Raw genomic sequence first — 22903 nt, 5'->3', positions numbered from 1 at the left:
TTTCTCAACTCTTTTTCCAGTCTTGTAAATGGCCACGAGACCATCTTTTAAGATGTAAGCTTGGATTTATGGACTTTCAGAAGTCAGCTCTTTGAAGGGATAGTTTATAAAAGGCACTGACAAAAGGGGTGCATTTAGTGCTATTTTATTCGGAAGCTATGTATATCACTCAGTTAATACGAAAAGTGGTGAGAGGCCAGGCGCTGTGGCCCACACCTGTAATCCCAGCACTTTGGGATGCCGAGGCAGGCAGATCACTTGAGTTCAGGAGTTCGACACCAGCCTGAGCAACATGGCGAAACCCCGTCTCTACTAAAAATACAAAAATTGGCCAGGCATGGAGGCACACGCATGTAATCCTAGATACTCGGGAGGCTGAGACAGGAGAATCGCTGGAACCCAGGAGGTAGAGGTTGCAGTCAGCTGAAATCGTGCCACTGCACTCCAGCTTGGGTGACAGAGCGAGACGCCATCTCAAAAAAAAAAAAAAAGTGGCAAGTCAGGGTATGTATCTTCACTTACTTGTGAGTACCAAGAAATTACTATTCTATCAGCACCCGCTTCAGTAATCAAATACTGAGCTCCTTGAGGGCAGAAATTTGTTATTTGGTCATTGATGTACGCCAAGTGTTTAGGTGGTCAATAGTTGCTGAATGTTGAATGAAACATTAATGACTGGTTTTTCTGGGTGGACCTACAAATAGTTCTCCTTGTAAACCATACTAAAATGAACAGGAGGCTAGAAAAGCTCCAAAGAATGGAAACTATTAATCAAGAAGATGCTGCTGGTGCATGCTTGTAGTCCCAGAGACTTGGGAGGCTGAGGTAGGAGGATCGCTTGAGGCCAGGAGTTTGACGCTGCAGTGAGCCATTATTATGCCACTGCACTCCAGCTTGGAGTGTACGTGTATGAATATATACAGACACATAAATACATTGATGTCAGAGTGAGACCCTGACTCTTAAAAAAAGGGATACCAGCTTATTTCATGAGTAAAACATTTGTACTTTTTAGATTGGAAGGAGGAAATCTGCATATAGAATTCCCATTGTATTGGACCTATTGACAAGGTTATCACAAACCTGTTTAGATATCAAAGTACTAGCAGTCTTCAACTTTACTAATAGATTGGTTTATAAAACTTCAACTGTAAACTAGCATTAGAACATACTCTGCTATAGAAAAAGGTTATAAATGGCAGCTGGATTCCTGTGTATCTACAAATCACCCGCCATTTGCGACAGACCTCAATTTCAGCCAGAAGCCCAGTAATCCCCCCACCACTTCTAGTGATGGCCTTTCCCCAGGAGAAGGGCTTTTTGTATTAAGAGAGGGGATGGCTAGGCACAGGGGCTCATGCATCTTCCCACACTTTGGGAGGCCAAGGCGGGTGGATTGCTTAGGCTCAGGAGTTCAAGACCAGCCTGGGCCACATGGTGAAACCCCATGTCTGCAAAAAACATAAAAATTAGCCGGGCATGGTGGTGCATGCCTATAGTCCCAGCTACCTGGGGGGCTGAGGTGGGAGGATTGCCTGAGCCCGTGAGGTTGAGGCTGCAGTAAGACCATACCACTGCACTCCAGCCTGGGTGACAGAGTGAGACCCTGTCTCAGAAACAAAACGGACAGAGATTAGCAGATTAGCATGGAAGACAGGATGAAGTTAATTCTCCTGGGTACCTGGTCTCTTAACTACATGGCATGTCTACAGATAATGACAATAAAGTAATTGCCATATTGGGGTGGCAAATGGGATGATGAAATAGCACTGGAGTTCAGCTTTGTATATGGTCATTTGTTAAGAGCTAGTTATATGTATTTAAGGATTCAAATTTTGTTAAACTAAATATCTAACTTATAAATTTGGTACAAGCTGAAGATGTAAATTTAGAGATGGCGGCGGGGGCAAAAGGCTTTATGTTATTACAGAGCAGTGGGCCATGGGGCCAGCTATTCCTATTACTGTGGAAGGTGAGTGTGCTCACAACCCGTTCTTTACCGCTACCCTCAAAGGTATGGAGAGGTGAGCCACAGTGGAGTGTTAAGAGCTCAGAAACTAGAATTAGCCTGTCTGGGTGCAAGGTCGGATTTTGCCTTTGCTAGCTAGCTATGTGACTTTGGGTAAGTAAGTAATCTACCTGCACTTCAGTTTCCTCATCTGTAAAATAAAGAACTCAATGAGTTGCTGTGAGGATTAAATAATGCCCCTAACCTGCTTAACACAAGGCCTGGCACATGGCATGTACCCCGTAAATGTCATTATTGCTATTACTCAGTTTGATTCAATCTCCCATTTCTTCCTTTGGAAAGACAGAGAATAACTGCTTGTCTTTTGGCATCAGTGTCTAACGCTAACGCTAAATATCTTTGGACTTTGATGTGGATTTTTATATTCTCCAAGAAATTACTACTGCAACACAATGTGGTAATGAAACCGTGAACTTTATTGAGAACTTTCAAGCATCATAACTTGAAGAAGTATTTCTCAATTCAGTTTATCGAAATACTTCAGCTTTCCAGCTGGATCTGGGATTATCTGTTAAAACAAAACGAAGAAAGGAAATTATTCATTTTAAAGCCAAAGTACATAATGAGTAGTCTGACATTAGTTGCCCATGCCTTGACTAAAAATTATTTTTGTATATCAGATTGTATATTTAGAAAAAAATGAGATTTGTCCTGCCTACTAATTTCGGCTATTCCAAAAGACAAATATTTTTATTTTGTGTGAATAAATTAACATCTGTACTCAAGCACCCCAAAACTTACTTACAGCTCTCTCTTGGCCACCAGGCTTTCATGGTATCTTCAGGTTTGATCTAATTAAGTCAAACACATTTAGAGAGCATGGCTACAGATGTTAATGTACTTTTAAAATCATGCTGCTAAAATGATGGTATGTCACAATTATCTGAAAAGGAGGCAGGTGTTCACTAAGGGCTCACTAAAGTCCAGAATACACCTTTTAAATCTCAAGCTGCAAAGTAAAAAAAAAAAAACAAAAAAAAAACCCAAACTCAAATACATCAAGCACTACTGTCAATAGTTAATGAATACTGTTGTGTTCCCTCTAAGAGCATCACAGCCTTAGAATCCTGTTAGACTTAAAAAAAATTTCCAATATAATTTGGCCTCACATTATGTTATTTGCTAGTTATAGGTAAAGTACATCTATCTTTATATATATAAAAATAACTTATTGTAACTTTTGTAATTGACTGATTCTGAATCAATTTCTGATGGGTTTGCAAAACAGTTTTGCTTTGAGGTCAAAGTTAATGTTACAATAGCAAACTTACTCATCTCTATGTTAATCTGATGGATCTCAAAGGGGATTTGAAATTACACATTAAAGGTACTTTGACCACTAGGTACCTTAAAGTATAAATCAGTCACATTAGTTTACATTTGTTGATTATGAGGCTTATAGAAAGAAATATGAATCAGAAGCTGCTGGCTTAAGCAGCAGCTTAAGAAGCCTTAAAAAGCATTTCAGACACATCTTCAAGGTAGGGGGCACTTCCCCCTGGAGGTGCAGCAAAACCCTCTGTGACTGATGAAAACATCATCTCCAATCACAGGCATGTGCTAGGTGTCCAAGTTCCCAGAGATCAGTGAGAGCTCCCAAGAAGTACAATTTCACTCTGAAAGGTATTATAGGATGAGTACCGGACATTTCGGAAAACATGTTGACTATTTACATGATTAACTTTTGGGGGCCACAAATCTCTGAGAATCTGGTGAAAACTATGGATTCTCCCTCCAGAAAAATGCATACGTGTTATCACATACTGTGGTGGTCATTCTTTTTAATTTTTGATTGATTGACAAATAATAGTTGTATATATTTATGTGTTTGGACGTTCTTTCAACAGACTCACTATATGGAAACTATTCAAGGTATTATGATAGGCAGTATTTATTAGTGAACAACACAGCCAAAGTCCCTGCCCTTGGAGTTATATCCTAATTCTAATTTTAGGTTGTGGTAATAAATGCTTTCATAAATAGGTTGGTTGGGCCAGGAGCGGTGCCTCATGCCTGTAATCCCAGCACTTTGGGAGGCTGAGGTGGGTGGATCGCTTGAGGTCAGGAGTTTGAGACCAGCCTGGCCAACATGGTGAAACCCTGTCTCTACCAAAAAATACAAAAATTAGCTGGGTGTGGTGGTGCAGGCTTGTAGTCCCAGCTACTTAGGGGGCTGAGGCATGAGAATTGCATGAACCCTGGAGGCGGAGGTTGCAGTGAGCCCAGATCATGCCACTGCACTCCAGTCTGGGCGACAGAGCAAGACTCCGTCTCAAAAAAGAAAAAAAAATTATACAGCCTCCTAAATGAAAGAATATACGTGTTTCAATCTTTTCTTTCTTCATGACAAGGAGAGAATCATTATCTTCAGTATTAATTGAGCTAGATTTTCTCAAAACCTCTTACTATGCATAGAAAGGTTTTGCTTGTGACTGTTTTCTTTGTCCCAATACAGGAAGAAATTCGATACATGACCTATAAGACCTCTGAATTATTCTACCAAGTCTCCACTCTGCCCTACTTTTTTTTTTCGAACGGTGTATTTATCTGTATACCTGGCTTTAAAATTCACAGCATCACGCCCCATATTCTGCTTTCTCCGGTTTCAGCTACTCTTCCTACAGGCCAAAGAATGTCTGTACTCTGATTTCTGCTTAGCAATGTTTACTTCATTTACAAAATCAAGACAGTTCTAGTAACAAGGGAAGATTATTCTAAGGTTAGCATTTTTTTTTTTTTTTTTTTGAGAAGGAGTCTTGCTCTGTCGCCCAGCATGGAGTGCAGTGGCATGATCTCGGCTCACTGCAACCTCCACCTCCCGGGTTCATGCCATTCTCCTGCCTCAGCCTCCCGAGTAGCTGGGACTACAGGCACCCACCACCATGCCCGGCTAATTTTTTTTTTTTGTATTTTAGTAGAGACGGATTTCACCATGTTAGCCAGGATGGTCTCCATCTCCTGACCTCGTGATCTGCCCGCCTCAGCCTCCCAAAGTGCTGGGATTACAGGCGTGAGCCACTGCGCCCGGCCAGCATTTTTTTCAACTCTAACCATCAACTCAACATAAAAACATATATATATACTTACTGTTTCACTACCAGGTTTCCAGCCAGCAGGGCAGACTAAAAGAAACAAAAAGAGGCAGAAGACATTTTAAAAACAGAATTCAGTTACCTTCAGCAACTGACTTTTTCTGTTTCTATATGAAACTGAATAGAATATACTAATAAGAACATTTCCAGACCACCGAGCACATGACTTCTATTAGCTGCCTGTTGACACCAAGGAATTTTAGTCATGGAGCTCATAAGCAGGCAGCTAATCTATTTTCATTTTTACCAATTATGTTTAGTTACATTTAAAATATAAGAAATCAAATTGATTGCCCCTCTAATACAGTTGGAAAGTTTGGGAATCTGGTGAGCTGAAAGGCCTGGGCATGGCAAAAATTCCTCCAAATTTACATAAACTTCCAGTACGCTTGTTTGCCATGTATACTTCAGTACTTTGTACTGATGACATGATTCACTGTTTGTCAAAAGAGACATTAGAATGCATCCTGACTCAGTGACATTTTTAAAAGGAATATATAATGTGTTCTATTTTAGCAAAATGATGAACTTGTAGATTACAAATGTGATACTGAATAAGCCCAGAGATTACATTACTATACTTCATCTTAGCTGAAAGGCAGAGAAGTGATCAAGGATTATTTAAAAGGCTAAATTCAATAATGCAAAGAGGCAAATGAAAACTACATCACTAAATGTTGCCAGATTGACACATTCTAAGCTTGCAGAAACATAATTTTAAAAATTGCAGTAGCAGAAACTTTTGTCTTTGAGTTTATCAAAAAGGACTATGCAAATAGTGAATATTTTTGCATCTCATTTAGTAAGCAGAATATATTAGTTTATATATATATATATATATATATATTTTTTTTTTTTTTTTTTTTTTTTTTTTTGATTTTTAGTAGAGGTGAGGTTTCACTGGGTTGCCCAGGCTGGTCTTGAATTCCTGAGCTCAAGCAATCCTCCTACCTTGGCCTCCCAAAATGCTGGGATTTCAGGCATGAGCCACCATGCCTGGCCTGATATTTTGTTAAAGCACTGTAAATTATAATTTGGTCTGTTAAAAGGATCTGCTAATAATTTGTAAATAATCAGAAAACTTTGGAAATATCGATTACTTTTACGATAAGAAACCTAACTAATTATGCTATCTTTCAAACTAAAAAATCAAAAGGTTAGAAGGGAGAGGTACCTTCTCCGTGTTTGTCAGTGTACTGGAATGCTTGAACCAAACGTAGTGTCTCATCCACTGATCTACCCACAGGAAGATCATTCAGAGTAATTTGTCTTAGGATTCCTTTGTCATCAATAATGAAGAGACCTCTGTAAAACAGAAGAATGGTAGAGATGAGGTCATTTCTTCTCATTTATGTATTGTGAATTCCTATACCATCCACACAAAAGGATGCTATACAGAACAAACACCACACTACCTACCTACTCCAATGGTATACACACACACACACACACACACGTACACACACCTGTGGACATCCCTCCCTCAATCTAATGTATAATTTGGAATTATCACTGTAAAACTGCAGCTTTAAAAATTTGTTTTTGGCTAAGAAATGTACCAGAGTATTTACAGTTGTTGAAGATAATCTGACCTTTAAAAACTATGTGCATATGTACATGTATTATTTTGAAAATAAATAATAAATTTTTTATTTGTTTTCAAACAGGATCTCACTCTGTTGCCCAGGCTGAAGTGCAGTGGCATGATCTCGGCTCACTGCAGCCTCAACCTCTTGGGCTCAAGTGATCCTCTCGCCACAGCCTACTGAGTAGCTGGGACTACAGGTGTGTGCCACCACGCCCAGCTAATTTTTGTATTTTTTGTACAAACAGGGTTTCGCCATGTTGCCCAGGCTAGTCTCAAACTGCTGGACTTGAGCAATCTACCTGCCTCGGCCTCCCAAAGTGCTGGGATTACAGGCGTGAGCCACCATGCCCGGCCTTAACAAAAAAATTTTAAAAAGAAACTACTGGCTCAGGTCAAATAATATAGCTAACGTTAGATAATTTTACTTGGTTAATGTTCAAATGATTCCACATTTTAAAACTGCCTCAGTCGTTTTTGGGGCATATTTATTCTTGGAAATTAACTTAGTAACAGATTTTATGAAAGCAGAAAACATTAAATACTTAGCAAGTACAAAAGAGGGGAAACTACTGGTAGCAATACATGATACAATACAATGAACCTTGAGAACATTATGCTGCGTGAAAGAGGCTAGTCATAAAAGCACATATTGTAGGATTCCATTTATATGAAATGTCCAGAATAGGCAACTATAGAGACATAAAGTAGATTTGTGGTTGCCTAAAGCCAGGGGAAGTGGGTTAGGGGAAACATGGAGTGACTGCTAATGGGTATGGGGTTTTTTGGAGCATGAAAACATTCTAAAATTGTGGTGATGGTTGCACAACTCTGTGAATACACAAAAACCACTGAAATGTATTCTTTATTTATTTATTTTTTTTTGAGACGGAGTCTCGCTGTCGCCCAGGCTGAAGTGCAGTGGCGCGATCTCGGCTCACTGCAGACTCCGCCCCCCAGGGTTCACGCCATTCTCCTGCCTCAGCTTCCCGAGTAGCTGGGACTACAGGCACCCGCCACCACGCCCGGCTAATTTTTTCTATTTTTTTTAGTAGAGATGGGGTTTCACCGTGTTAGCCAGGATGGTCTCGATCTCCTGACCTCGTGATCCGCCTGCCTTGGCCTCCCAAAGTGCTGGGATTACAGGCGTGAGCCACTGCGCCCGGCTATGTATTCTTTATTTTTAATTTTAATTATTTTTTTAGAGACAGGGTCTCACTCTTGTTACCCAGGCGAGAGTGCAGTGGTGTGATCATAGATCATTGCAACCTTGAACTTCCAGGCTCTAGCGATCCTCTTATCTCAGCCTCTTGAGTAGGCTGGGACTACAGGAATGTGCCACCACAATGGCCTAATTTAACAAAAAAAAATTATTTTTTTTTTTTTGTAGAAGACAAGGGTCTTGTTATGTTGCCCAGACTAGTCTCAAACTCCTGGGCTCAAGGGATCCTCCCACCTAGGTCTCCCAAAGAGCTGGGATTACAGGCATGAACTACCATGCCCAGCTGAATTGTATTCTTTAAATGGGTATTGTATTATATGTGAACTATATTCCAATAAAGTTGTTATAAAAAAACACAGGATTATAAAATACTGACACTTTCACATAAAACATTCAAGAAAAACTATTGGCACTACAAAGCAAATCAATACAACCAAATTACAACTGTTCCACACTAAAATTGCCCCCTTTTCAAAGAATTCTATTAATGTTTGTTAGCTCAAGTAACCCAGTGAGAGCGTCTGGGTAAAATATTTCCTTAATTTTTCCTACTCCAAAGACACAGGTTTGCTAAGTAGTATGACACTTGTATTTAGAAAAAAACATTACTGGAGTCAGGTTGCAAAAAAGGAAAAAGAAATGGACAAGGAGTTGGGGGACCTGGATTTAAGTCTGGGCTCTGCAATTAAATTATTATATAACTTTGGCTAAGATCACGGAACTCTATGAATCTGTCTCTTTTATCTGTAAGATGACAGGGTGGGTGAAAGACCTCTAAATAATCTTCCAGCTCTAAAAGTCTATGATGCTAACATAGTTTAATCAGGGTAATATAAACTAACGGTTTAAGTTTAGTAGTTTAAAGACTAATAGAACAAAGTAACATTTTTCTTTCTTTCTTTTTTTCTTTTTGAGACGGAGTCTTGCTCTGTCGCCTGGGCTGGAGTGCGGTGGCGTGATCTCGCCTCACCGCAACCTCCGCCTCCTGGGTTCGAGCGATTCTCCTGCCTCAGCCTCCCGAGTAGCTGGGACTACAAGCGTATGCCACTATGCCCAGCTAATTTTTGTATTTTTTAGTAAAGATGGGGTTTCACCATGTTGGTTGGCCAGGATAGTCTCGATATCTTGACATCATGATCTGCCCCCCTCGGCCTCCCAAAGTGCTGGGATTATAGGCGTGAGCCACCATGCCCAGCCAATTATTTCTTTTTTTTTTTTTTCACTCTGTCGCCCAGGCTGGAGTGCAGTGGCATGATCTGGGCTCACTGAAACCTCCGCCTCCCAGGTTCAAGCAATTCTCCCACCTCAGCCTCCCGAGTAGCTGGGACTACAGGCATACGCCACCATGCCTGGGTAATTTTTATATTTTTTGGTAGAGACAGGGTTTCACCATGTTGGCCAGGCTGGTCTCAAACTCCTGACCTCAAGTAATCTGCCCACCGTGGCCTCCCAAAGTGCCAGGATTACAGGCTTGAGCTACCGTGCCTGGCCTCAAAATTATATTTCTTGATCAAAATTTGTTCTTCTATTTCATAAATAACATCTATTTCAAGGAGGATTATAAACACGCTTGGATTTGTCATAATATAAAACCACTGAAAGGTACCTAAGAGTGTGGCCTGAGTCCTCTAGGTATACACCATAGTCCTTTGAGATCTGATGGGTCAAATCTGAAAGAAGTGGAATCCTTATTGGCCCAAGTCCTCCTTGTCTTCGAGGGGTATTAATCCTGTAACAAACAGAACGCTTACCTCTCAGAGCTAAGTAAACGGCATATATTAAAACAGCACTCTTTCTCTATACATGCACACGCACACACATGAAATACACACATTCTTTCACTAACAAAAACAGGCTAATATACTTTCTATTTTCTTGCTTTTCCCATTTAATATATTCATATCCTTTAAACATTAAAAATATATATACACAACACATTTTTATTTTATGTTTTTGAGACAGGGTCTTGCTCTGTCTCCCAGGCTGCAGGGCAGTGACGTGATCATAGCTCAGCGTAGCCTAAAACTTCTAGGCTCAAGCGATCCTCTTGCCTCAGCCCCCTGAGAAGCTGGGACTACAGGTGTGCACCATCCCACTGGGCTAATGTTTTAAACACTTTTTTGTAGAGATGGGGTGTGGCTTTGTTACCCAGGCTGGTCTCGAACTCCTGGCTTCAAGCAATCCTCCTGCTTCACCCTCCCAAAGTGCTGGGATTATAGCCGTGAGCCATTGTGCTCAGCCTACAACACATTTTTGTTTTTTCTGAGACGGAGTCTTGCTCTGTCGCCCAGGCTGGAGTGCAGCAGCGTGATCTCGGTTCACTGCAACCTCTGCCTCCCAGGTTCAAGCGATTCTCCTGCCTCAGCTTCCCAAGTAGCTGGGATTACAGGCATGTGCCACCACACCTGGCTGATTTTTGCATTTTTAGTAGAGTCAGGGATTTACCATGTTGGCCAGGCTGGTCTCGAACTCCTGACCTCAGGTGATCCACCCGGCTTGGCCTCCCAAAGTACTGGGATTACAGGCGTGAGCCACCGCGCCTGGCCTATAACACATTTTTAATGTATGGATACACAGATACTCCTTGACTTAAGATGGGGTTGTTTCTTTCTTTCTTTTTTTTTTTTGAGATGGAGTCTTGCTCTGTCACCCAGGCTGGAGTGCAATGGCACGATCTTGGCTTACTGCAACCTCTGCCTCCCAGGTTCAAGTGATTCTGCTGCCTCAACCTTGTAAGTAGCTGGGATTACAGGCACCCGCCACCACGCCCAGCTATTTTTCGTATTTTTAATAGAGATGGGGTTTCGCCACGTTGGCCAGGCTGGTCTCAAACACTTGACCTCAGGTGATCCGCCCACCTTGGCCTCCCAAAGTGCTGGGATTACAGGCCACTGTGCCCGGCTGGGGCTGTGTCTTGATAAACACATCATAAATTGAAAATATCATTAGCTAAAAATGTATTTACTATCCCATAAACCCACTGTAAAGTTGAAAAATTATACGTCAAACCATCGTAAGTCAGGAACATCTTTACTGTATTTTACTTAATTCCATGATGAAGATTTAAACCATTTACCTTTTTTTTTTGCTTTATAAACACTGCTGAAAACATCCTTGTATTCTTACTTTTATACACTTGTCTAATTGATTTCTGAAAGTGAAACTGATAGATCAAAAGATACGTAGTATCAAAAGCATAACCTTAGTAGTGTGATCATAAGATAAAGCCTTGAACAGACAGGCAGGATACAAATGGATGACATTTTAATATTCTGAGAGACAAATGCAAAGTCCACTTGAAGCAGTGAAGGAAGTGAGTTATAATATCAGATGCCTCAGTCTTCACTACAGGTTGAGTATCCCTTATCGGAAGTGCTTGGGACCAGAAGTGTTTTGGATTTAGGATTTTTTCCGATTTTGGTATATCTGCATACTTACTGGTTGAACATCCCTAATCTGAACTCTGAAATGCTTCACTAAGCATTTCCTTTGAGCATCATGTCAGCACTCAAATTTTGAATTTTGGAACACTGTGGATTTCAGGTTAGGGACGCTCAATCTGTATTCTGTAACTTGAAACCAGGAGACATGGGCTGATGCTCTAACAGGAGGGTACTGACACAGCAGATAGAAAACAAAACGACATTGCTCTAGATATCTGGAGCCCCAGTTCTGACACCCAAGTAGAAATTTCTGGTTGATGTGAACCCTATCAGGCTGAGAATGTATCCCCAAATTTCCTTGGGAAAGCAATCCCAAATTATTTGGGATGCCATAACTTTTTCCTTAGTGGATATGCATTTTAATCCTCGGAAGATTTATAATTACTACAGAAGTGATGAAGCACAGCCCGGGCAACATGGCAAGACTCCATCTCTACAAAAATAAAAATTAAAATAGGTATGGTGGTGCAAGCTTGCAGTCCCAACTATTTGGGGAGGTAGAAGGATTGTTGGAGCCCAGGAGTTCAAGGCTGCAGGGAGCTATGATTGATTGTGCCACTGCACTCCAGCCTGGGCAACATAGTAAGACCCTGTCTTTCTTTTTTTAAAGGAAATGATGAAGCAAATTAAGCCTATATTTTAATTTTTTTTTTTTTTTTGAGACAGGATCTCACTCTATTGCCCAGGCTGAAGTGCAGTGGTATGATCTTGGCTCACTACAGCCTCGACCACCTAGGCTCAGGTCATCCTTCCATCTCAGGCTCCCGAGTAGCTGGGACCACAGGCATGCACCACCAGACCTGGCTAATTTTTTTTATTTTTTGTATAGATGGGGTCTCACTATGTTGCCCAGGCTGGTCTTGAACTCCTGGGTTGAAATGATTCTCCTGCTTTGACCTCCCAAAGTGCTGGGATTATAGGCGTGAGCCACCATGCCAGGCTATTTTAATATTTTTACATTAAGAAATAATCAGTACATATTTATATGTTAAGTTATTTATAATGTTTAAGAGAATTTGGCATATTAGAACTACTTAAGTATTTGGGAAGGTTTGTCTGAAAATTGAGATACTTAAGGAATTCAAATATATTAAATATATAACTGCATTTAAAAATACTTATGGGAATTAATTTCTTAGGGAAATGTAATTAATTAAATTGTAGCTCACCAAGCAATGAAAATTTGTTATACACACACAGATTATAAATGAGAAAAGCTTGTGTTTCAAATTTGTAACTTTAATAAATTGAATATTATGTTTTAAAACCAATAGTTCTGAATCTTTTTTTTTTTTTTTTTTTTTTTTTTTTTTTGAGATGGAGTTTCACTCTCATTGCCCAGTTGCCCAGGCTGGAGTGCAATGGCGTGACCTCGGCTCACTGCAACCTCCACCTCCTGGGTTCAAGTGATTCTCCTGCCTCAGCCTCCTGAGTTGCTGGGATTACAGGCACCTGCTACCACGCCTGGCTAATTTTGTATTTTTAGTAGAGACGGGGTTTCTCCATGTTGGTCAGGCTGGTCTCGAACTCCCGACCTCAGGTGATCTGCCTGCCTCGGCCTCCCAAAGTGCTGGGATTAGAGGCATGAGCCACTGTGCCCAGCCCAATTCTGAATGGTCTTTATTGTGCACAAAGTTTTCTGCACAAGACTGTGGACACTATAAAAACTCATATTAACATGTAAATTTCCAATTTTGAGACATGTTGCCCAACTGCTCTCCAGAAATGCTAAACAGCTGTGTGTGAGTGCCGTTTCTTCAATTTTTGTCCACAGTGGATACATTTTTTCAATCTTTTAAATCTTGGCCAACCAGACAGGGAAAATTGGCATCTCGTCATTTTAATTTGCAATTCTTTATAACGAATTTAGGTAAAACATCTTTTTATGATTAATGAATTTTTAAACATTTTTTAAAATTCATTTTTAAAAAGTATTGTTTCTTCAAAATTGTAAAAGCTGAGTTTGACTATATAACTGTGTAACAGAGAAATGGCATATTTTAAAGATTTTTTTCCTCCAGATTATGGTAACCCAATTTATCATAAGCATATAATTCAGTGGTTTTCGCTATAGAAATCACATCTATTGCATTTAACTTTTCCCCTTATTTTGAAATGTCCTATAAAATCCTTAAGCATTTTTATTATAGCAGCTGATTATATTACTCTTCTCTCTTTTTTTAACCTGGAAAATGTGTAGTTACATGTATTACTCTTAGATAAAGCTATTCCTGAATTGTCTGATAAATGACTATATTCTTATATCATATCAAGAGTTATCTGTCCATGCTTTAAGAGTAAATCCATTCTTTTTTTTCTACGAATATAAGTGTAAGATACTGACCAGGCCAAATGGGTAAACTGTGAATCAACAGAGCATGCTACCACTTCAGTATTTATAGATCTGAATTCTTCAAGTCTGTCGCCAAAAGCGATAATTTCAGTTGGACACACAAATGTGCTGAAAGGTAAAAAAAAAAAAATATTCAGTATTCTCCAAATAAGCATATACCTAAACTTTCAAATGACAATTTTTACAAATACCTTTAATAATAAAAATGCACATTAAGAACAATTTTATATTTGAACCTTTTCAAAATGGAGTAGTCTAAAAGACTGTCATTTAATCAAATATTTAAGACAGAAACATATTACAGAGTTCCCAACTACATCTCAATAAACTTTCTTATTACAACTTAATAGATCAGTAGTCAACCAATGTTCCCTTCTCCCTTATAGCAATAGCCACCCCTCATTTTATTACTTTTATTTAATAATACCTTTTATTTATATAGTATTTTATAGCTTTCAAAGGATCTATACAAATTTTATGTCATTTCACTATTTTTTTTTTAATATTCCTATACCAACCCTATGAATTAGATGCATCTATGTGTATTTTGGAGAGGAGGCAATGTTTTCCAGTACCCCCACCCCTCCTTTCTTGATAAGGTCCTCTTCCACCTTGTCTACCAGTCCTGTGCAGCCAGGGATTTTATACCTTAATACCCTCATGTTGTCAGGCCATGTTTACAGAATATTACTAGGGTGGCATTTTTTCAAACCGTGGTAGGGACTCCTTAAATTAACTGAGTTCTAAAAAATATTTTTAAAAAGTGAAATCGAATAGAAAACAGGAGACTCTATCATACATACTAAGGGTAAATTATGAAACACATATTTATATATACAAATATATATGTTTGTCTTCAACAGTGATGATATTCAAAATATTTAACAATCTTAACTCAAAGCTGGCTTTAGTTCTGGAGGTTTCTGAAAGGGATCAGGCAGGAGGACTAACTAGTTGGTGAGGAAAGGGAAGTGGCTATTTACCACATGATATGAGGGTTTTTCAGTATTTTAAGGAGCATGGCTGTGCTGGTGCATCCAGATGGAATGTTACCGTATATATATGTGCCTGTGTACTGGCTGACAACGAAAAATGTATTTCCTACTGTGAGACATGGTCAAGAAAGTTTGAAAAACATAGACTTAGTTAGGGCACAAGTTCCTACCAGATACCAATACAGGATTTTAACATGTTTCAGGTATTCAGGTACAGCACTGTCATGTCCAAGTAGACAGTTCTAATCTCGGATGATGTCCCTGGAAACCTGGGCTATAAAATGTATTTTTAATATTTTCTAAAGGGTAGGAATGGTCAGCCTCAGCCTTCCTTTTTTTTTTTTTTTGTGGCAGGGTCTCACTCTGTCACCCAGGCTGGAGTGCAGTGGCGCGATCTCAGCTCACTGCAACCTCCGCCTCCCGGGTTCAAGCAATTCTCCTGCCTCAGCCTGCTGAGTAACTGGGACTACAAACGCCCACCACCACGCCCGGGTAATTTTGTTTGTATTTTCAGTAGAGACGGGGTTTCACCTTGTTGGCCAGGCTGGTCTAGAACTCCTGACCTCAGGTGATCCGCCCATGTTGGCCTCCCAAAGTGCTGGGATTACAGGCGTGAGCCACTGCACCCAGCCTCTGCCTTTCTTCTTATTTCAAGGAATGCTACCTAGAGATACATTTGACCAACTTCTTAGTGAAGACAGAAAAAGTTTTGGCAGGAAACTGAAGGGTTACGTTTGTAACTTTCCTCCTTGTAGACTGTGGCAAATGCCCCAGAATTCTTCCTTCTCTAACCAGGCACAGTCCAGCATTACATGAAAACAGGAAGAGGCTATCTTAGCTCCTTGTCCCAGAAGACCATTGCTAACAACATGCTCCAATTAACTATCTCTTACCCATTATGGAGTTATGAATAACAATGGAGAAACACAGAACATATTTTTCTGCTACATTAGACTAACTTCCAAATTCAGGGTGTTAGTCGTATATATTTAACATACATGTTAACCTTCTGGTTTTATAACAACATGAATTTAGAAGGCCTGTCATTTTTTATGTCTACTGAAATTTCTACTTCTGGTTTCTATTAGAAATTAAGCTATACTTAAAAAAATCAAGTCACAATATGAGTTGATTAGAAAGAAGCAAGTTCTTATAATTTAAAAGATTATATATTATGCAGACTCATAACTTTAGTCTCAATGTAATAATTTTCATGAGAATTCTTCCTTTGTGGCTTAGAGCAGGGGTTGGCAAATAGGTCAATAGGCCAAATCCAGCAGAAAAAATTTGTTAATCCCTGGCCTAGAAACAACCTATAGCAATGAGCTTAAGTATACCCTCCCTGCAAGTTTAAATTTGATCTATGTAGTTCCAGATTAGTCCTAATGGAAAAAGGCACAGTGGCAAAGATAGAGGAGGAAACTTCTAGTTATTTGTTGTAACCAAAAAGTAAGTTCCAAGAGAATAAAAGATAAAAATTGACATAACTCTTTTTGGTCTCTTCTCACTTTCATGAATTTTGAAAAACACTCAAAATAGTGTTTTGTAAAATAAAATTAAATCCTCAACGTGAATAAAGCTGTAAGGGTATTTACTTTTAGTCAACTTTCTGACCATATACAAAAACGCTCACTGTCACAGAGTTAAAAAAAGACGAGAAACCCCACAATAACCATAACATATACACAGGTGTTATTCCTTATTCCTTAAGCAGTATATAATATTTTCAGCAAAATGTTCAAATCCCAGAAAAGCAACAGATGCAGCAAAGAATAAAAATGGAAAAACCACAGTTACATGGTATCACTAGAGAAAATGGCTTAATTTTCTTTTTCTTTTCTTTTTGAGATGGAGTCTCGCTGTCGCCAGGCTGGAGTGCAGTGGCACTATCTCAGCTTACTGCAACCTCCGCCTCCAGGGTTCAAGCAATTCTCCTGCCTCAGCCTCCCGAGTAGCTGGGACTACAGGCGCGTACCACCACGCCCAGCTAATTTTTGCATTTTTAGTAGAGATGGGGTTTTACCATGTTGGCCAGGATGGTCTCGATCTCTTGACCTTGTAATCCACCTGCCTTGGCCTCCCAAAGTGCTGGGATTACAGAATTAATTTTCTAATCAAGAGAGATACAGTAAAAAGAATTATGGCATAGGTCTTGCTATTAAATGCTTTCTAATATATTATCAGTCCATTTTCTTGCCTTAGTAGGTATAGCTTAATGAATATATTGTAGCTTTCCTCTAATTATTCCATTATAACATAATCATGTAGACATAAGTATTGAGGTCGGTGTGTTATGACTCTGAAATATATGGTAGATGTTACCTTTTTAAATACATTTCTTTACTTCAGCTTGCCTTTTTAAAAACCAAGAGCTGAACAAAATAATTTGTTTGATACTCCTGAAAAATAATTGATAAAGACTGAGATTTTACTAGCTATTTACATGTATTACTTACAAATCAAGTGGGTAGAAGAAGAAAACCAAGTATTTCCCACGATAATCAGTTAACTTCAGCTCCTTAAATTCTCCATCGATCACAGCTGTTCCTTCCCAGTAGGGCGCTGGCTTGGAAACTAAGAAAATAAAATACATGATGTTCTGTAACACTGAGAAAGTTGGTGGAATGGTAGAAGGACATCTTTAGAAAATCACTAAAAATCAGGGCTACCTTTAGATCTCTTTGGCAGTCTGGTGAAGCTTACAGACTTCTTAAAAGAGTGTTATTGAATGCAAAAAGGAAAATACATAGAATTACAAAAGAAACCAATTGTATTTAAATGCAATTATAAAAATATTAAAAAAAATTGGTGATATCATAATACATGTGCTCTATAACACTTCAAAACTGCAAGATCTAGTTGTAATCTGACAACTACGTAAGATAATGATGAGTGAAAATGGTGTTTCAGGATACCTGCGATAACCATATGTAGCAAGAAAATAAGTGATTCTATTGGTGAAAGGTACAAGCAAGTGCTGCTGAAGATAGTGTAGTTTGTTGCTGACATTCATAATAGAAGGAAACACTAAATTTCAGATGGGGATTAGTGAAAATAAATACTTTTTTCCCCTATTCATGCTCACAGACCCCTTAAATTCTACCCTGCACTAAACCCTCCTGGATACTTCACTATAGTCCCGCTTCAAGTTGTCAACTTCCTACATTTCAAATAATTAGATTTTCCTTTCTCTAATGGCAGTCTTCCAGATGTACTAGTTTGTCCAGCTTCTGACATACACATGGAGGACCTGCTGCAGATGAGGCTACACAAAATGAGGAGGGAATGTACAAATATGTCAGGCCAGAAGTGTAAAATCCCAGACCATGGGATCATTTTCCTAGAGGGCTTTGAAAGAAGACTCCCTTGAACAGGTTTCAAGTGACCCAATGGAAACTGAACAGTTCATGCTGCTCTCTTGTAAGGGCGTACAGTAATTTTAGCCAACACACTTAGATACTAATGCACCTTCATGCTCTGTTAACACATTCAGATAGCACTTATACTTTCAGACCCCTTACAAACACTGAAGTCAATGCTTGCTTCTAAGTTTGGCTAAGGGTCCTAGAAAGTAAGGCTTATACTTCTCTGTAACAGCCACCATTTATGGTCACTCCAAAATAGAGACAAACAACATGAATTTCTCTTAAAAATTAATATATAACATATGATTACTTATCTTGAGCCAGCATCCTACCTCATATATATAATCCTGATCTGATTAGGTAAAGGCCAGGAGGGAGAAATAGACAGCAGAAGAGTATTCAATTATATATACTTTAAATAAATTACTTAAAATGCTACTCAAGTGAGAGGTTATAATAATTGTAATGATCTATTACAATGACACGCCTTAATGATTTTAGCATACTGGGAAAACCATATTTGAAAAATAAATTTTGTTCTGAAAATTGATTTTGGAAATATTTGGTTAAGAATGGTAGTTACTTTGCTAAGATCTATAAATGGAATTCCCAAAGCAATCCCTTGCATTTATTAAAAAAACAAAAATTGTCTTGAATATAAATTATGTAATTAACATAAAGATTCTGGTAAATGCAGAGAAGTACAAAGAATACTTAAATCCTCTCTCTCCATAACTCCCATCAACTACTGTTAACATTCTGATGTCTGTCTTTCTAGTCTTATTTTTTTTAATTTTAGTTATTTACTTTTTTTTTTTTTGAGACAAGAGTCTCAGTCTGTCGCCCAGGCTGGAGTGCAGTGGTGTGATCTGGGCTCACTGCAACTTCCGCCTCCCGGGTTCAAGGGATTCTCTTGCCTCAGCCTGCCCAGTAGCTGGGATTACAGGTATGCGCCATCACACCCGGCTAATTTTTGTATTTTTAGTAGACACAGGGTTTCACCATGCTGGCCAGTCTGGTCTCGAACTCCCGACCTCAGGTGATCGGATGGCCTCGGCCTCCCAAAGTGCTGAAATTATAGACGTGAGCCACCACACCTGGCCTTTCCGTTCTTTTTTAAACACAAATTTGCCACGTGTTGCATCCCGCCTTTTTTTTCTCCTTAAAGGAAACAGTAAATTAATTATGAACAGTTTTTGATATTACTAAAAATTATTTGAAAATATGGCCTTAATGGCTCCATAATAGTCTTTACTAACAAAAGTCTTTGTATCTTTAATTATAGATAAGCCTACATGTGACAGAGAAATGTAGTAAACAACTAAAATGTTAAGTTTTGCTGGTAAAGGGAAAGCTTTGAAGTAGATTTGTTTCCTATGGAAAATATATGTAATGTAAGTAAACACTTAACTGGCTGACATATTTAAAATACTTTCCCAGGCAAGTAAAACCAGTGGGACTTGGAAATACTGATTTTAAAATTTAAGACTGGTTTTGTTAAAAATCTCAAAGTAGGCTGGGCACCGTGGCTCACGCCTGTAATCTCAGCACTTTGGGAGGCCAAGGCAGGCGGATCATGAGGTCAGGAGTTCCAGACCAGCCTGGCCAATATAGTGAAACCCCGTCTCTACTAAAAATACAAAAAATAGCCGGGTGTGGTGGTGCGCGCCTGTAGTCCCAGCTACCTGGGAGGCTGAGGCAGAAGAATCGCTTGAACCCGGGCGGCGGAGGTTGCAGTGAGCCGAGATCGCGCGACCGCACTCCAGCCTGGGTGCCTGGGTGACAGAGCAAGACTTCATCTCAAATAAAAAAAAAAAAAAAGTCCCAAAGTGGTTAACTGAAAGTACTTACTTTCAGCAAGTAAGAACTGTAAATGTTTAAGAGGACAAAACAGTTTTTCTCATTTATCACTCCCAACCAACCCATCCTAAGTCATAACAACATTCCATTTAACTCTAGGGATTCAGAATTTGAAGCATTACTTTTTTCACTGAATACTGGCATGGAACATGCTGTAACTGAACCATAAAAACCAACTACACACCTACAGAATGTCAAATGATCTGCAGGAAAAGCAGGTTACTGAATAGCAAGCAAGAGACAGCCTTTATCTATAGCCACTGTTCACTTTTGGTTAATTTTAACATCCAGATGTAGCAGGCTACAACTTTCACAGTATCTACTTCGTCTGACGTGTCATTCCTGAAAGTGGCCATTAGCTTTGTACACTGGACAGAAATGCAAATAATCAAAAACCAAATTGGCAGGACACAAATTTGCCACGAGGTTTATCATCAACCCAAATGCATACTTCTAACCTTTTCCCCCATTTCCCTCAAAAGTACACTCTGTAATAGGTTCTTCATGTCTGAGAAACATAAGGAATATCCATTAACTACACAGGCTTTGGGGAAGGTGGCTTTCAGTAATAATCTTTGTAAGATGCAAACAAAAAGGAAGAAAGAAAAATGAAATGTTTGACCTCCCGAGCACTGTGTTTAGCAACTTTTCTGTTTAATCAAACTTTTTGTGAATCATTATTCAACCTATCAATGTCTTCCTTCGCTGAAATAGTACCTGAAAAAGACAGGATGTGCTGAAGGCACTTTGAGATGTTTCAGGAACTGTTTCAGTTTGCCCAACATCCTCGATGCAAACTCGGGACTAGGGCCACCCACTTTCCCTCAGCTGCGGCTTTTGGGGTAACCACTACCTCTTCTAAAATCTGATCAGTGGAAACCATACCTTTCTTCACAGCTAGAACTCCCCTTTATTCCCCTCCCCGCCCTCCTAGGTGAGAACCAGGCCCGCCCAGGGCCCGGAGGCAGCCCAGGGGGTGCCGCCCAAGCCCAGATTCCGGGGGTGTAACCGGGGTACACGTGTCTCCGGAATCTCCCCTCCCACCCTTTGGCGGGACACCACCTACTCTTCGCTTTGCTTAGGTGCAGGGAGTGGTCGGCGACCGATACCCGGGATGCCTCTCCCGGGTACACTTGTCCACCCGCGTAGAAGTGGCACTCCTCTTCGCGAGTCCGGGGCCTCTCCTCTGTCTCCCAGCCCTGCACAGCTCCAGCCGGCAGCAGGAACAGCAGTAGCGGCAGCAGAAGCAGCCTTCGGTGGCGGCCGTGGTCCGGAGTTGTCGCGGCTAGCAGCGGCAGCGCCTCCATGACCACGCGAGCGCAGAAACACGTCCCTTGGCGCGAGCGCCGCTTCTGCCGCCGCCGGGCAGCTACAACCGCGTGCACGACGCCCGCGCGAACCGGGGCGCGGCCTCGCGAGACCAGCTCCTCCCCCTACCCCCCCTATCTGCTCCCCGCCCCGCCACGTGGGCGCCGGCCGCACCTCCCCCATCCCAAGCCTGCATTTGCGCCTGCGTCCCGCGGCTGACCAGGACCGGGAGCGTTGCCCAACTCTGTGAAGGCAGCGACAAGGTCTCCTGACCTCCGCGCTGTTTTAGACATCTTTCCACGTCCATCTCTTCCACAAAGCCTCACCACTGCACACAAGCCCCTCACAAGCGGAATCTAACCTATATGCTTGTGAATGGCTTGCATTTTATACTTCTAATAAGCTTTTTAAAAAGTCACTTAACGTTTTTAAAAATTATATTTACTTGACAAATCATAATTGTATACATTCGTGGGATGCAATGTGATTTTTTGAAATATGTATCCAATGTGGGATGATTACATCACATTAACTTATCCATCGCCTTGTTTACCTATGACTTTTATGGTGAGACATTTCAAATTTACTCTTATTCATTTTGAAATATACATTATTATTGACTGTATTTACCCTGCTGCTTACCAGAGGTTGGGAAGTAGGGAAGGCGAGGCGAGAGGGAAGGAATGGGGAGTTAGTTGTTGGTCAGAGGTTACCAAGTTCCAGATAGACAGGAATAAGTTTCAAGATCTAATAGACATTTACTAATTTTTTTTCTTGAAGTGATTTGTGTGAACGGGGCCATGATCTGCACTACTTGCAGCTCTTTTAAGTCCTGGAAAAACTTAGGGAGGGTAGGTCTAACCATTTACTTTCCTCCAGCATGCAAGGGCGTACAGGCAGTTTTTAGTGACCTAATCTATTGTTTCAAAGACAGCTTTTTTTTTTTTTAATTTAAATGAAGACTTGAAAAGTTACCAGAAAACTCTCCCAGCAGTGTTGTTCCTTTTTCTGACAATTACCCCATCACCCAACCCCTGGCCTTTTCCCTGCCCTCCCCACCCATCTCCCCGCCGTGGGCACCGCCCCGCTTGCCGCTGCAACCTGCCGTGTGCGTCTGCGCACTGGGGGCAGGCCCAGGCCACCGAGCGTCCACCAACTGGACTAAGACCACCTTGTGTCGTCACTTGTGACCGATCTTCTGCACTCCCACCCTCAGCACTGTTTTAGACCCTGTTCATCCTTCTGGGCCCATCTTGTACACAAAACTTCGCAGGTGACTGGCCTCGCGCCCTCAGCACTGTTGTAGGCCTTCTCATCCTTCACACCTATTTCTTCCACAAAGCTTCGCCCATGGCTGTCTTCCCACCATTGAAGTGCCAACGACCCTCGCCGCCAGCACTTGTTAGACATCCTTCCACGCCCATCTCTCCCAAAAAGCCTCCTCATCCCACGCCACCCCCGCCCCTCAAAGGGAAACTGACCTTTCTGCCTCTGAATAGCTCGCGTTTTATCCCTCTAACAGACATTTCTTATTCTTTTCCTTGCAGTGATCTTTGTGAACAGCCATGACTCCTCTCTCAAGTCGGAGCCCTTTTCAGGTCCCCAGAAAACTTGGAGAAGAAAAGTCTAACCTGAAAAGCCATATCCCTAG

General features: G+C 40.5%; 1 protein-coding gene across 1 annotated transcript, besides 3 other annotated features; it reads right to left on the bottom strand.

The window, feature by feature from the left end:
• Window positions 2425-21329, bottom strand: PRDX4 (peroxiredoxin 4). Its single transcript, NM_006406.2, has 7 exons — window positions 21011-21329; window positions 17176-17293; window positions 13716-13832; window positions 9535-9657; window positions 6296-6426; window positions 5117-5151; window positions 2425-2537 (listed from the first exon to the last, which is right to left on the bottom strand). The coding sequence occupies exons 1-7, from the start codon at window positions 21249-21251 to the stop codon at window positions 2487-2489; spliced, it is 816 nt and encodes a 271-aa protein (NP_006397.1). The 5' UTR covers window positions 21252-21329; the 3' UTR covers window positions 2425-2486.
• Window positions 20867-20996: a silencer, noted in NCBI's record as "silent region_20704". NCBI's record gives its function as "represses an Ori minimal core promoter by ATAC-STARR-seq in GM12878 lymphoblastoid cells {active_cell/tissue: GM12878}" and the evidence as "EXISTENCE:reporter gene assay evidence [ECO:0000049][PMID:35858748]".
• Window positions 21276-21570: an enhancer, noted in NCBI's record as "tiled region #11823; HepG2 Activating DNase unmatched - State 1:Tss, and K562 Activating DNase matched - State 1:Tss". NCBI's record gives its function as "activates a minimal TATA promoter and a strong SV40 promoter by Sharpr-MPRA in HepG2 and K562 cells {active_cell/tissue: HepG2 | K562}" and the evidence as "EXISTENCE:reporter gene assay evidence [ECO:0000049][PMID:27701403]".
• Window positions 21347-21526: a silencer, noted in NCBI's record as "silent region_20703". NCBI's record gives its function as "represses an Ori minimal core promoter by ATAC-STARR-seq in GM12878 lymphoblastoid cells {active_cell/tissue: GM12878}" and the evidence as "EXISTENCE:reporter gene assay evidence [ECO:0000049][PMID:35858748]".

Source organism: Homo sapiens, chromosome X, assembly GCF_000001405.40.
Source record: "Homo sapiens chromosome X, GRCh38.p14 Primary Assembly".
Classification (NCBI taxonomy): Eukaryota; Metazoa; Chordata; class Mammalia; order Primates; family Hominidae; genus Homo; species Homo sapiens.
The sequence above is the reverse complement of the archived record's forward strand: the minus strand, read 5'-3'. Positions and strand labels throughout refer to the sequence as shown.

Bases quoted from the DNA above. Each gene is read 5' to 3' on its own strand.
- PRDX4 (NM_006406.2), bottom strand. From the start codon at position 21,251: ATGGAGGCGCTGCCGCTGCTAGCCGCGACAACTCCGGACCACGGCCGC. The intron at 9,658-13,715 runs GTCAGTATCTTA...TGTTTGTTACAG, and splicing joins CAGTTTACCCATTTGGCCTG to GATTAATACCCCTCGAAGAC. The intron at 2,538-5,116 runs GTAAGTATATAT...TTGTTTTAACAG, and splicing joins GGAAACCTGGTAGTGAAACA to ATAATCCCAGATCCAGCTGG.